The 15,053-nt window shown below is 50.5% G+C and overlaps 1 protein-coding gene across 2 annotated transcripts in view, besides 1 other annotated feature; it reads left to right on the top strand.

The window, feature by feature from the left end:
- HPD (4-hydroxyphenylpyruvate dioxygenase) overlaps positions 1 to 15,053 on the top strand; it is a 49,085-nt gene that overhangs the window by 33,444 nt on the left and 588 nt on the right. For both annotated transcript variants that reach the window (NM_001171993.2, NM_002150.3), the window contains 6 exons: positions 376 to 465; positions 5,378 to 5,481; positions 6,092 to 6,169; positions 7,954 to 8,116; positions 8,235 to 8,306; positions 11,336 to 11,458. In NM_001171993.2, coding sequence (NP_001165464.1) covers positions 376 to 465; positions 5,378 to 5,481; positions 6,092 to 6,169; positions 7,954 to 8,116; positions 8,235 to 8,306; positions 11,336 to 11,458 — 630 coding nt within the window. The remainder of the gene's footprint in view (positions 1 to 375; positions 466 to 5,377; positions 5,482 to 6,091; positions 6,170 to 7,953; positions 8,117 to 8,234; positions 8,307 to 11,335; positions 11,459 to 15,053) is intronic.
- Positions 14,309 to 14,978: an enhancer, noted in NCBI's record as "H3K27ac-H3K4me1 hESC enhancer chr12:122278096-122278765 (GRCh37/hg19 assembly coordinates)". NCBI's record gives its function as "activates a minimal SCP1, AML or CMV promoter by ChIP-STARR-seq in primed H9 embryonic stem cells {active_cell/tissue: H9 hESC(primed)}" and the evidence as "EXISTENCE:reporter gene assay evidence [ECO:0000049][PMID:30033119]".

Here is a 15,053-nt window from a genome sequence, read left to right as displayed (position 1 = left end):
GCAGTCCAGTTTTGCTAAATAAATGCATGAATCTTCTTATTATTCTCATCCAACCATTCTTTTTACAGATGGTGAAATTGAGGACTAGAGAAGGGGACTGATCACAGGGGGAGTTAGCAGAGGCAGGACAGACACCCATCCCTACCTAGTTTGTCTCCCATAGCCCCAACTCTGGGCCTGGGCCTCAGTTTCCCTATTTGCCAAATGAGCATGAGTATTGGGGGTAATGGCTGAAGCTGGCTGGGGTTCCTACCTGGGGCTGGAGAAACTGGAGGGGCCTGCAGGACCACGCAGAGGCCACCAGGCAGGAGCAGCAGGCAAGGGTTCTGGAAGGCTCCAGCCCTCACCAATTCCCCGATCCCATCTTCTCTGCAGAAAGCACGGGAACGGGGCGCCAAAATCATGCGGGAGCCCTGGGTAGAGCAAGACAAGTTTGGGAAGGTGAAGTTTGCTGTGCTGCAGACGGTGAGTTCCCTTTGGTGCCCCCACCCCTCCTGCTGTCGGCACCACTGAGATGCCAGGAGCCCCGCAGCTGACTCCATCAAACCATCCCACCCATGGGCCTTGGAGCACAGACATTGTCCCTCAAGTCTGTCCCCCGTATTGCCTGGCCAGTGTACGGGGACTGCAGGAGCCACCAGCCACTCCTCCCAGGCTTCCCTTCCTCCCAGTGCGGGAGGATGACAGCAAGGGGGTGAAGGCAGGGGCTCTGAAGAAGGGAGAAGGATGGGGTCTGGGGACATCAGTTCCCACACGAGCTGTGTGACTTTGGGCATATTACTGTACCTCTCTATGACTCTGTTTAAATGAGCAAAGACTGGAACTGGAACACCTATGTGGTCTGGGACATGCGCTTAACTTTCCTGTGCCTCAGCAGTATCTTTTTGTTTTCCTCAAAAAAATTTTTTTTTAAAGATGGAGTCTCGCTCTGTCGCCCAGGCTGGAGTGTAGTGGTGTGATCTTGGCTCTCTGCAACCTCCGCCTCCCAGGTTCAAGTGACTCTCCTGCCTCAGCCTCCCGAGTAGTTGGGACCACAAGTGCGTGCCACCATGCCCGGCTAATTTTTTCTTTTTTGTATTTTTAGTAGAGATGGGGTTTCACCGTGTTAGCCAGGATGGTCTCAATCTCCTGACCTGGTGATCCGCCCAACTCAGCCTCCCAAAGTGCTGGGATTACAGGCGTGGGCCACTGTGCCCGGCCTTTTTCTTTTTTTTTTATTCTTTTTTCTTTTTTCAGACGGAGTCTCTCTGTCGCCCAGGCTGGAGTGCAGTCGCGTGATCTCAGCTCACTGCAACCTCTGCCTCCTGGGCTCAAGTGATTCTTCTGTCTCAGCCTCCTGGGGATTACAGGCATCCACCCGCACACACGGCTAATTTTTGTGTTTTTAGTAGAGACAGGGTTTTGCCATGTTGGCCAGGCTGGTCTCGAACTCCTGACCTCAAGTGATCCATCCGCCTCAGCCTCCCAAAGTGCTGGGATTACAGGCGTGAGCCACCGTGCCAGGCTGTTTTCTTCAACTTTCTTTTTTCTTTTTTTTTTTTTTTTTGAGATGGAGTCTCGCTCTGTCGCCCAGGCTGGAGTGCAGTGGCACGATCTCGGCTCACTGCAAGCGCTGCCTTCCGGGTTCACGCCATTCTCCTGCCTCAGCCTCCCGAGTAGCTGGGACTACAGGCGCCCGCCACCACGCCCGGCTAAATTTTGTATTTTTAGTAGAGGTTTCACCGTGTTATCCAGGATGGTCTCGATCTCCTGACCTTGTGATCCGCCCGCCTCAGCCTCCCAAAGTGCTGGGATTATAAGTGTGAGCCACCGCGCCCCACCTCTTCAACTTTTATTATAGGTTCTGGGGTATATGTGCTGGATGTTCAAGTTTGTTACATAGGTAAACGCATGCATGGTGGTTTGCTACACAGATCATCCCATCACCTAGGTATTAAGCCCGGCATCTGTTAGCTACTCTCCTTGGTGCACTCCCTCCCCGACCTCCCCCACCTGACAGGCCCTAGTGTCTGTTGTTCCCCGTGATGTGTCCATCTTTTCTCATCATTTAGCTCTCACTTCTAAGTGAGAACATGCAGTGTTTGGTTTTCTGTTCCTGCGTTAGTTTGCTGAGGATAACGGCTTCCAGCTCCATCCATGTCCCCGTAAAGGACATGATCTTGTTCCTTTTTATGGCTGCAAGCCTCAGTATCTTCAACTATGACTCCTCATAGGGTCATCGTAAGGATCCAATGAGAACTGGGCGCAGTGGCTCACGCCCATAATCCCAGCACTGTAGGAGGCTGAGGCGGGCGAATCACTTGAGGTCAGAAGTTAGCCTGGCCAACATGGTGAAACCCCACCTCTACTAAAAAAAAATACAAAAGTTAGCCAGGCATGGTGGTGTGCACCTGTAGTCCCAGCTACTTGGGAGGCTGAGGTGGGAGAATCGCTTGAACCCAGGAGGCAGAGGTTGCAGTGAGCCAAGATTGCACCTCTGCACTCCAGCCTGGGCGACAGAACAAGACTCCCTCTCAAAAAAAAAAAAAAAAAAAAAAAAAAAAAAGGATCCAATGAGGTCATTTGTGTATAGCACTTAGAACAGTGCCTGGCACATTAGACACTCAGCAAAGATGACCAATTCTGTTTAGGACCCGTGTTACTGTAATACAGAGACAATCATAGCTCTTACCTCCTTGAGATTAAATTCAACATAAAGGGCTGGGCACAGTGGCTCACACCTATAATCCCAGCAGTTTGGGAGGCTGAGGCAGGAGGATCACTTGAGGCCAGGAGTTCGAGACCAGCATGGGCAAGATAGGGAGACCCCATCTCTACAAAAATTAAAAATACAAATAAAAAATAAATAGGCCAGGTGCAGTGGCTCACACCTGTAATCTCAGCAATTTGGGAGGCCAAGGCAAGAGGACTGCTTGAGCCCAGGAATTTGAGACCAGCCTGCGCAACAAAGTGAGACCCCATCTCTACGAAAAAATTAAAAATTGGCCAGGCATGATGGAGCATGCCTGTGGTCCCACCTACATGGGAGGCTGAGGTGGGAGGATTGCTTGAGTCCAGGAGGTAGAGGCTGCAGTGAGCTGTTATCACACCACTGCACTTCAGCCTGGTTGACAGAGTGAGACTCTGTCTCAAAAATAAATGAATAGGCCGGGCGCGGTGGCTCACGCCTGTAATCCCAGCACTTTGGGAGGCCGAGGCGGGCGGATCACGAGGTCAGGAGATCGAGACCATCCTGGCTAACACGGTGAAACCCCGTCTCTACTAAAAAAAAAAAAAAAAAAATACAAAAAAGTAGCCGGGCGTGGTAGCGGGCGCCTGTAGTCCCAGCTACTCGGGAGGCTGAGGCAGGAGAATGGCGTGAACCCGGGAGGCGGAGCTTGCAGTGAGCCGAGATCGCGCCACTGCACTCCAGCCTGGGCGACAGAGCGAGACTCCGTCTCAAAAAAAAAAAAAAAAAAAAAAAAAAAATAAATAAATAAATAAATGAATAAAAATGTTTTAAAAAGTTAAAAAATTAAATTAAACATAAAAATGGTTAAAGTGTGCCTGTAATCCCAGCACTTTGTGAGGCCGAGGCAGGTGGATCACCTGAGTTCAGGAGTTCGAGACCAGCCTGGCCAACGTGGCAAAACCCTGTCTTTACTAAATATACAAAAATTAGCTGGGCATGACAGGCGCCTGTAATCCCAGCTACTCGGGAGGCTGAGGCAGAAGAATCACTTGAACCCGGGAGACAGAGGTTGCAGTGAGCCAAGGTTGCACCACTGTACTCCAGCCTGGGCGACAGAGCGAGACTCCATCTCAAATAAATAAATAAAAATTTTAAAAAATAAAAGTTAAAAAATTAAATTAAACATAAAAATGGTTAAAGTGTGCCTGTAATCCCAGCACTTTGGGAGGCCAAGGTGGGTGGATCACTTGAGGTCAGGAGTTCAAGACCAGCCTGGCCAAAATGGTAAAACCCCATGTCACTAAGTAAAACAACACAAAAATTAGCCAGGTGTGGGGCTGGGCACGGTGGCTCATGCTTGTAATCCCAGCACTTTGGAAGGCCAAGGGGGCGGATCACCTGAGGTTGGGAGTTTGAGACCAGCCTGACCAACATGGAGAAACCCCATCTCTACTAAAAATACAAAATTGGCTGGACGTGGTGGTGCATGCCTGTAATCCCAGCTACTCAGGAGGCTGAGGCAGGAGAATCGCTTGAACCCGGGAGGCAGACGTTGTGGTGAGCCAAGATCGCACCATTGCACTCCAGCCTGGGCAACAAGAGCGGAGCTCTGTCTCAAAAAAAAAAAAAAATTAGCCAGGTGTGGTGGCACGTGCTTGTAGTCCCAGCTATTTGGGAGGCTGAGGCAGGAGAATCGCTTGAACCTGGGAGGCGGAGGTTGCAGAGAGCCAAGATCACACCACTACACTCTAGCCTGGCCAACAAGCAAGACTCCGTCTCAAACAAAAAAAAAAAAAAAAAAAAAGGCTAGGTACAGTGGCTCATGCCTGTAATCCCGGCACTTTGGGATGTTGAGGTGGGCCCGGCATGGTGGTACACGCCTATAATCCCAGCTACTCAGGAGGCTGAGGCAGGAGAATGGCTTGAACCCGGGAGATGGAGGTTGCAGTAAGCCGAGATCGTGCCAATGCACTCCAGCCTGAGTGACAGAGTGAGACTCCGCCTTAAAAAAAAAAAAAAAAAAAGATGGTTAAAGTGGCTGACAGAACTCTTCAGTATAATTTTTTTTTTGAGACGGAGTCTCATTCTGTCGCCCAGGCTGGAGTGTAGTGGCACGATCTCTGCTCACTGCAAGCTCTGCCTCCTGGGTTCATGCCATTCTCCTGTCTCAGCCTCCCAAGTAGCTGGGACTACGGGCACCCGCCACGCCACCACACCCGGCTAATTTTTTGTATTTTTTAGTAGAGACAGGATTTCACCGTGTTCGCCAGGATGGTCTCGATCTCCTGACCTCATGATCCACCCGCCTTGGCCTCCCAAAGTGCTGGGATTACAGGCCTAAGCCACCGCGCCAGGCTGCTCTTCAGTATAATTTAATCCAATGCCCTCCTGCGTTCTTCATCTAGTTGACCTACTGAAATAAATGAAGTAGGTGCTTCATTGAGTACCTCCCCTGTGCCAGGCACTGAGCTTGGCGCTGGGTACACCATCATGAGCAAAACAGTGTCCCCGCCCTCACGGAAACTCTCAAACAAGTGACAGATTGCAATTCATTTCAGAAAGGAGAAGTGACTTACCCAAGATCACGCATCTGGTTAGGGTCAGATGCAGGTTGGAACCCGGGGCTACGTTAGCGCTATGAAATGTGCTCTGTCCTCGGCGGGGATGGGTGCCCAGGGGCCGAGCCAGGCTGTTTTCCACCCGTAGTATGGGGACACCACACACACCCTGGTGGAGAAGATGAACTACATCGGCCAATTCTTGCCTGGATATGAGGCCCCAGCGTTCATGGACCCCCTACTTCCTAAACTGTGAGTGTCCCTCAGGGCAGAGGTGGGTGGAAAGCCCTGAGGGACTGTGAAAAGTAATGCCCCTTCCTCCATGTCCACTGCGCATGTGTGTTGGGGCAGAATGGAGCCGGCTAGGGAATTCCTGGAAGTCCTCAGGGGTGCTTGAAGAGGTGGCACAGAGGCTGAGACCATGGCCTCTGCAACCAAACTTCCCCGGGTTCAAATCCCAGCTCTGTTACTTCACAGCCATTTCACCCTGGGCAAGTCGCTTCATCTCTCTAGGCCTCAGTTTCTTCATCTGTAAAATGGGGACTGTAATAGTAAATGAGTTGACAAAATAAAATGTCCGGCCCATTAGTAAATGCTACATAAGTGTGAGTCCAGGCGCAGTGGCTCATACCTATAATCCCAGCACTTTGGGAGTCTGAAGCAGGAGGTTCACTTGAGCCCCAGAGTTTTAGACCAACCTGGGCAAAAAAAAGAGTCTCTCTTTTTGTAGAGACTCCATCTCTACAAAAAAATAGAACTCCAAAAACAGAAGTGTGAGCTATTATTATTATTGAGGGGTCATGGAGAAGGGAGCAATCTGGGGGGTAGCCACCTTCTCACCCCCATCTTCTTCCCTTCCCAGGCCCAAATGCAGTCTGGAGATGATCGACCACATTGTGGGAAACCAGCCTGATCAGGAGATGGTGTCCGCCTCCGAATGGTGAGACCTTGGCCCTCTCCCTCTGCGTGAAGATGACGGGTCCTCACGGTGGACTGGCCCACTCCCTGGTCCTTGCACTAACATGGAAAATACGACTGGGTGCAGTGGCTCACACCCGTAATCCCAGCATTCTGGGAAGCCGAGGTGGGAGGATCACTTGAGGTCAGGGGTTCAACACCAGCCTGACCAATATGGAGAAACCCCGTCTCTACTAAAAATATAAAAACTCAGTGGGCGAGGTGTTGGGCCCCTGTAATTCCAGTTACTCAAGAGGCTGAGGCAGGAGAATCGCTTGAACCCGGGAGGTGGAGGTTGGGCGACAGAGTGAGACTCCAGCCTGGGAAACAGAGCAAGATTTTGTCTCCAATAAACAAATAAAATAAAATAGACCGGGCGCACTTGCTCACGCCTGTAATCCCAGCACTTTGGGAGGCGGAGGCGGGTGGATCACCTGAGGTCAGGAGTTCAAGACCAGCCTGACCAACATGGCGAACCCCGGTCTCTACTAAAAATACAAAAATTAGCTGGGTGTGGCAGTGTGTGCCTGTAATCCCAGCTACTTGGGAAGCTGAGACAGGAGAATCGCTTGAACCAGGAAGGCGGAGGTTGCAGTGAGCTGAGATTACGCCACTGCACTCCAGCCTGGGTGAGAGAGAGAGACTTTGTCTCAAAATAATAATAATAATAATAAAGTAAAATAAAATAAAAGTGGAAAATACAGCACAAGATGTTGGGAGTTAGCCTGAGGCCACTGATGCATTTATTCACTGTAAAACTGTCAACATGGAGACCAGTGGACTTGAGGCCCAAAGCGACCCACAGGCCCTCCTTCTGAGGAACCCTGGGGACATCACAGTCCAGGGAGGCTTGGAGGAAGGTTGCCACCACCCAGAGAGCCCCCTGTCCAAATTCCAAGCAAGGGCCTTTTTCTCAAAGCACTTTACTTCCATCTGTGGGAGCCTTGCCGTCCTGTATGTATTTCGTTCCAAGACACTTCCACCTGAAGGAAAAATGTCATCATAAAGGTACAAATCTAGGCTGGGCGTGGTGGCCCATATTTGGAATCTTAGTACTTTGGAGGCCCAGGCAGGTGGATGGCTTGAACCCAGGAGTTCAAGACAGCCTGGGCAACATAGTGAGACCCCATCTCTACAAAAAATACGGCCGGGCACAGTGGCTCATGCCTGTAATCCCAGCACTTTGGGAGGCCGAGGCGGGTGGATCACCTGAGGTTAGGAGTTCGAGACCAGCCTGACCAACACAGTGAAACACTGTCTCTACTAAATACAAAAAATTAGTTGGGCATGGTGGTGCATGCCTGTAATCCCAGCTACTTGGGAGGCTGAGGCAGGAGAATCGCCTGGACCCAGGAAGTGGCAGCTGCAGCGAGCCGAGATTGCGTCACTGCATTCCAGCCTGGGCGAAAAGAGCGAAACTCCGTCTCAAAAAACAAAAAATAAAAATACCCCAAAATTATCCAGGTGTGGTAGCACATGCCTGTAGTCCCAGCTACTTGGGAAGCTGAGGTGGGAGGAGCAATTGAGCCTGGAGATTGAGGCTGCAGTGAGCCAAGACTGCACCACTGCACTCCAGCCTGGGCAAGAGTGAGACTCTGTCTCGAGCAACAACAACAACAAAAAGATCTAAATCTCTGATGGGTATGATGGCAGTGGCATCTCCTTTCTGGAGCCTGCTCAGGGACAGATTCTGGAAGGTGGAAATGGGTGATGGAGGCCGTCCCTGGAGGCGCTCAGAGCATATGTGTTCCACCGCCCACCCTACAGGTACCTGAAAAACCTGCAGTTCCACCGCTTCTGGTCCGTGGATGACACGCAGGTGCACACGGAATATAGCTCTCTGCGATCCATTGTGGTGGCCAACTATGAAGAGTCCATCAAGATGCCCATCAATGAGCCAGCGCCTGGCAAGAAGAAGTCCCAGATCCAGGTGAGGCCGCCCCTGGCTGGGGGAGAGGGGAGCAGGGAAGAGGTCTGGGGGCTCTTGTAGGGTCAGGGATGTGGGTGATGGGGCAAATGACAGTGGTCTCCTTGTTTCCCTCCCCCAGGAATATGTGGACTATAACGGGGGCGCTGGGGTCCAGCACATCGCTCTCAAGACCGAAGACATCATCACAGCGGTTAGAACCCCCTTCCCTGTCCGAATTCCTCTCTCATTCAGAGCCAGGGACGATCTCTGCAAAATTGAGAGGGCGGGTGGCGGCAGTCCTGGGCCCGTTTCTCTGGGCTGGGAGACTGACAGGACTCCCTCACTGCTTCTTGCAACTCATGGGCAGGCACAGCCACACCCACCCCCAGAGAGTTCAGTCTCCACAGAACCCCTGGGCTTTGGAGGTAGCAGGCGCCAGGGTATCAGGAAGCCTGGGTGATGGTCCCGGTTCTGCCAGTGGCTTGCTCTGTGTCTCTGGGAGATTCAGTGCTGTCTCTGGACTTTAGTTGCCTTACCTTAAAAATCAGGAAATTAGGGCCGGGCACAGTGGCTCACACCTGTAATCCCAGCACTTTGGGTGGCCAAGGCAGGGGGATCACCTGAGGTCAGGAGTTTGAGACCAGCCTGGCCAACATGGTGAAACCCCATCTCTACTAAAAATACAAAAATTATCTGGGCGTGGTTGCGGGCACCTGTAATCCCAGCTTCTCAGGAGGCTGAGGCAAGAGAAGTGCTTGAACTCAGGAGGTAGAGGTTGCAGTGAGCCAAGGTCGCACCACTGTACCACAGCCTGGGCGACAAGAGTGAAATTCTGCTTTAGAAAAAAATAATAGTAATTAATAAAGGAAATTAGGACTGGGCACAGTGGCTTATGCCTGTAGTCCCAACTACACGGGAGGCCAAAGCAGAAGGATTGTTTGAGCCCATAAGTTAGAGATCAGCCTGGAAAACAGTGGGACCCTGTCTCTGCAAAAAGTAAACAAAATTAACCAGGCTTGGTGGTTCATGCCTGTAGTCCTAGCTACTTGGGAGGCTGAAGCAGGAGGATCCATTTAGCCAAGGATTTCAAGGCTGCAGTTAGCTATGATTGAGCCACTTTTCTCCAGCCTAGGTGACAGAGAGTGAGGCCCTATCTCCCCGCAACCTCAAAAAAGAAATTTTTTTTAAAATGAGGAAATTAAGGTTGGGCATGGTGGCTCATGCCTATAACAGTTTCTGCCCTTGTGGAGCAATAAACAAAATAAGTAAAATATAAATGCTAGATGGTAGAGAGCACCCAGGAAGAAAGTAAAGCAGGGAATTGGGACAGCAAGGGTGAATGGCATTGCACATTTAAATTGGGGGGTCAGACACTGTGGGAGGCCGAGGCAGGAGGACTGCTTGAGCTCAGAAGTTCAAGACCAACGTGGGCAACATAGTAAGACCTCATCCTTTTTTTTTTTTTTTTTTTTGAGACGGAGCCTGGCTCTGTCGCCCAGGCTGGAGTGCAGTGGCGCGATCTCGGCTCACTGCAAGCTCCGCCTCCTGGGTTCACGCCATTCTCCTGCCTCAGCCTCCCAAGTAGCTGGGACTACAGGCACCCGCCACCACGCCCAGCTAATGTTTTTTTTTGTATTTTTAGTAGAGACGGGGTTTCACTGTGTTAGCCAGGATGGTCTCGATCTCCTGATCTTGTGATCTGCCCACCTTGGCCTCCCAAAGTGCTGGGATTACAGGTGTGAGCCACTGCGCCCGGCCATAAGACCTCATCTTTACAAAAAAATCAAAAAATTAGCCAGGTGTGGTGGTGCACACCTGTGGTTCTAGTTACCCAGAAGTCTGAAGTAGGAGGATCAGCTGAGCCTGGGGAGGTTGAGGCTGCAGTGAGCTAAGATCATGCCACTGCACTGCAGCCTGGGTGACAGAACAAAGACCCTGTCTCTCAAATATATATATGTGTGTGTATATATATATATATCCTTCTTTTTTGAGATGCAGTCTTGCTCTGTCTTCTAGGCTGGAGTGCAGTGGTGCGATTTTGGCTCACTGCAACCTCCACCTCCTGGGTTCAAGCGATTCTCCTGCCTCAGCCTCCCAAGTAGCTGGGATTACAGGTGCATGACACCACGCCTGGATAACTTTTTTTGTATTTTATTTTTATTTTTTATTTTTTATTTATTTTATTTTATTTTGAGACAGAGTCTCGCTCTGTTGCTCAGGCTAGATTGCAGTGACGCGATCTCGGCTCACTGCAAGCTCTGCCTCCCGGGTTTACGCCATTCTCCTGCCTCAGCCTCCCAAGTAGCTGGGACTACACGCTCCCACCACCACGCCCAGCTAATTTTTTTTTTGTATTTTTAGTAGGGGTTTCACTGTGTTAGCCAGGATGGTCTTGATCTCCTAACCTCGTGATCACCCATCTTGGCCTCCCAATGTGCTGGGATTACAGGCGTGAGCCACCTCGCCCGGCCTTTTTTTTGTATTTTTAATAGAGACAGGATTTTGCCATGTTGGTCAGGCTGGTCTCCAACTCCTGACTTCAAGTGATCTGCCCGCCTCAGCCTCCAAAAGTGCTGGGCTTACAGGCGTGAGCCACCACACTCGGCCTAATAGATCCTTAATCGTTTCATGCCTCAGTTTCCCCAGCTATGAAATGGGAGAATAGTCCTTCAGCTGCCTCAAAAGATTGCTGCATGGACATAATGAGGGAATACGTAGAAAGTGCTCAGGCCGGGCTCAGTGGCTCACGCCTGTAATCCCAGCACTTTGGGAGGCCGAGGTAGGTGGATCGCCTGAGGTCAGGAGTTCGAGACCAACCTGGCTAACATGGTGAAACCCCATCTCTACTAAAAATACATAGCTGAGTGTGATGGTAGTCACCTGTAATCCCAGCTACTCAGGAGGCTGAAGCAGGAGAATCGCTTGAACCGGGAGGCAGAGGTTGCAGTGAGCTAAGATCGTGCCACTGCACTCCAGCCTGGGCAACAGAGACTCCATCTCAAAAAAAAAGAAAAAAAGAAAGTGCTCAAGGCAGGCACATGGTGAGTGTTCTATAAATCTAGCAGTTGTTGTTCTAACGGGGCCCATGACAGAGAAGAAAGGGGAAGAGGCCACACAGCATCCTGGCAGTTGAGGGGAGCTAGGATAGGGACCCTGTATCCTGATGACCCAGCACCTCCACCTGGCTAGGGGAGTTGAACTTGGAGGCCGAAGGCTGACCTCAGCTTTGCTCTGAAACAGATTCGCCACTTGAGAGAGAGAGGCCTGGAGTTCTTATCTGTTCCCTCCACGTACTACAAACAACTGCGGGAGAAGCTGAAGACGGCCAAGATCAAGGTGAAGGAGAACATTGATGCCCTGGAGGTGAGGCCCAGGCAGGATCCGCAGCCTTGTGGGGGGAGTATGAGCTCTGCATTGCATCTTTTCAGAAATATTGTCTCAGCCCGGAGGGGAGCCCAGACCAAGTCCCTGCTGGCAAAGGACATTTATTCTAGGGTCTATGTGGGAGGAGGAGACAGATGACAAACAAATAAACAATAAAAGCACGGTCAGAGATAGTCAGTGCAGGAAGTTCAAACAGGCAGCCTGGGGCTGCTTTACAGAGACTGGTCAGGGAGGGCCTCTCTGAGGAGGTGACATCTGAGTGAAGTCTAGATCATGAGCGGGAGCTGGCCATGTGAACAGCGGGAAGAAAGGCATTCCTGGCAGAGGGATCAGCAAGGGCCGAGGTAGGAGCATGCCCTGAGCGTCTGAGGAACAGAAAGAATAGGCTAGAGTGGATGGGAGGCTGTTTTTGAGCGATGACCTAGGTCAGACAGGTAAGCAAGAGCCAGTTCCTCTTGTGAGCTATTATTCAGGAATCTGGATTTTGTTCTTTTGTGACCAGAAACCACTGGAGGGTTTTTTGGTTTGGTTTTAGCAGTGTTATTGACATATGTCACATAACATGTCATTTTTTTAAGGTGTACAATTCTATGATTTCTAGCTATTTGCTATGTTGTGCAACTATCATCAAAATCCATTTTAGGACTGGGTGTGGTGGTTCATGCTTGTAATCTCAGTACTTTGGGAGGCCGAGGCGGGCGGATCATGAGGTCAGGAGTTCGAGACCAGCCTGACCAACATGGTGAAACCCTGCCTCTACTAAAAATACAAAAATTAGCCAGGCGTGGTGACACATGCCTGTAATCCCAGCTACTCAGGAGGCTGAGGCAGGAGAATCACTTGAACCCGGGAGGCGGAGGTTGCAGTGAGCCGAGATTGCGCTACTACATTCCAGCCTGGGCGACACAGTGAGACTCTGTCTCAAAAAAAAAAAAAAAAAAAAAAAAGATCCATTTTAGGACTAGGTATGGTGGTTCATGCCTGTAATCCCAGCACTTTGGGAGGCCAAGGCAGGTGGATCACTTGAGGTCAGGAGTTTGAGACCAGCCTGGTCAATATGGCGAAACCCCCATCTCTACAAAAAGAAAAAAAAAAATTAGCTGTGCGTGGTGATCTGTGTCTGTGGTCCCAGCTACTGGGGAGGCTGAAGTGGGAGAATCACTTCAACCCAGGAGGTAGAGGCTACAGTGAGCCATCATCAGGCCACTGCACTCCAGCCTGGGTGATACCCTGTCTAAAAGAAAAACAAAAACAGTTAGGCCAGACACAGTGGCTCACACCTATAATCCCAGCATTTTGGGAGGTTGAAGTGAGAGGATTGCTTGAGGCCAGGAGTTTAAGACCAGCCTGAGAAACACAGGGCGACCCTGTATCTACAAAAAAAACAGTTTTAAAAAATTAGCTGGGCATGGTGGTTCGTGCCTGTAGTCCCAGCTACTCAGGAGGCTGAGGTGAGAGGATCACTTGAGGCCAGGAGGTCAAAGCTGCAGTGAGCCATGATCAGGCTACTGCATTCCAGCCTGGGCAAAAAATCAATTTTAGAACATTTTTGTCACCCCAAAAAGAAACCTTGAGCCTCTTAGCCAGCACCTCCCAACCCCCTCTGTTCCCTTCCCCCCTCCCACCCCAGCCCTAGGCACCATTAATCTACCTTCAGTCTCTATAGATTTGCCTATTCTGGACATTTCATCAAAAGGAATCACAAAGTCCAGGCACGGTGGCTCATGCCTGTAATCCCAGCACTTTGGGAGGCTGAGGTGGGCGGATCATGAGGTCAGGAGTTCAAGACCAGCCTGGCCAACATGGTGAAACCCTGTCTCTACTAAAAATACAAAAATTAGCTGGGTGTGATAGCAGATGCCTGTAATCCCAGCTACTGGGGAGCCTGAGGCCGGAGAATTGCTTGAACCCAGGGAAGGGGAGGTTGCAGTGAGCCGAGATCGCGCCATTGCACTCCAGCCTGGGCGACAGAGTGAAACTCCATCTCGGAAAAAAAAAAAAAGGAATCACAAAATAGGCCTATTGTGAGCAGCTTCTTTCCCATAGCATGTGCTCAAGGTTCATCTGCGTGGGGTGTGTGTCAGTGCTTCGTTCCTTTTTGTGGCTGAAAAATATCCCATTGTATAGATAGACACACATTGTTTATCTATTCCTCGTTGATAGATATTTGGGTTGTTTCCACTTTTGGGGTGTTATACGTAATGCTACTGTGAACATCTATGTACAAGGCTCTGTGTGGACGTGTTTTCAATGCACTTTGGAATATATCTAGGAGTAGCTAGGTCACATGGTAATTCCATGTTCCCTTTTGTTTGTTTAGAGATGGAGTCTTGCTTTGTTTCCCAGGCTGGGGTGCAGTGGTGCGATCTTGGCCCATTGCAACCTCCAGCCTCCTGGGTTCAAGCAATTCTCCTGCCTCAGCCTCCCCAGTAGCTGGGATTATAGGCGCCCGCCACCACGCCCAGCTAATTTTTTTTTTTTTTTTTTTGAGACAGAGTCTTGCTCTGTTGCCCAGGCTGGAGAGCAGTGGCCGATCTTGGCTCACTGCAACCTCCACTTCCCGGGTTCAAGCGATTCTCCTGCCTCTGCCTCCTGAGTAGCTGGGATAACAGGCGTGTGCCACCATGCCCAGCCAATTTATTTTTATTTTTATTTTTAGTAGAGATGGGGTTTCACCATGTTGGCCAGGCTGGTCTCGAACTCCTGACCTCGGGTGATTCACTCACCTCAGCCTCCCAGAGTGCTGGGATTACAGGCGTGAGCCACCTTGCCCAGCCTAATTTTTGTATTTTTTTTTGTAGTGACTGGGTTTCCCCATGTTGGCCAGGCTGGTCTCGAACTGAGCTCAGGTGATCCACCTGCCTCGGCCTCCCAAAGTGAGCCACCATGCCTGGCCACCCCCTTTTTTTTTTTTAATCCGTATTTTAAGGAAGCAACACTATATGTTTAACTTTTTGAGAAGCTGCCAGACTGTTTTCCAAAGTGGTTGCACCATTTTACAGTCCCACCAGCAGTACATGAGGGTTCCGATTTCCACTGGAGGATTTTAAACAGGGGAATGACATGATCCGACTTTTAAAAGATCCCGCAGCAGGTCATGGTGGCTCACGCCTGTAATCCCAACACTTTGGGAGGTCGAGGTGGGTGGATCACCTGAGGTCAGGAGTTCGAGACCAGCCTGACCAATATCGTGAAACCCCGTCTTACTAAAAATACAAAAATTAGCCGGGCATGGTAGCCTGCGCCTGTAGTCCCAGCTACTCGGGAGGCTGAGACAGGAGAATCGCTTGAACCCGGAAGGCGGAGGTTTCAGTGAGCCAAGATTGCGCCACCGCACTCCAGCCTGGGTAACAGCGCAAGGCTCCGTCTCAAAAAAGAAAAAGAAAGTGTCCTGATAATGTCTGCGGGGAGGATGGATTGTAAGGATACAAGATTAGAAGCGGGCAGCAGTCTTGAATGGTGCCTTAGGAACTGTAGTAGGGGGATAGTAATAGGACAGTTTGGGGATATATTTGGAGGTGGCTGAACTGCCAGAAAAAGAGGTCATTTCCAGACTTTTGGGGTGCAGGAGCCC

The sequence above is a fragment of the Homo sapiens genome, chromosome 12 (assembly GCF_000001405.40).
Source record: "Homo sapiens chromosome 12, GRCh38.p14 Primary Assembly".
NCBI lineage: Eukaryota > Metazoa > Chordata > Mammalia > Primates > Hominidae > Homo > Homo sapiens.
Note: the sequence above shows the minus strand (reverse complement) of the source record. Positions and strands in the feature narration are given on the sequence as shown.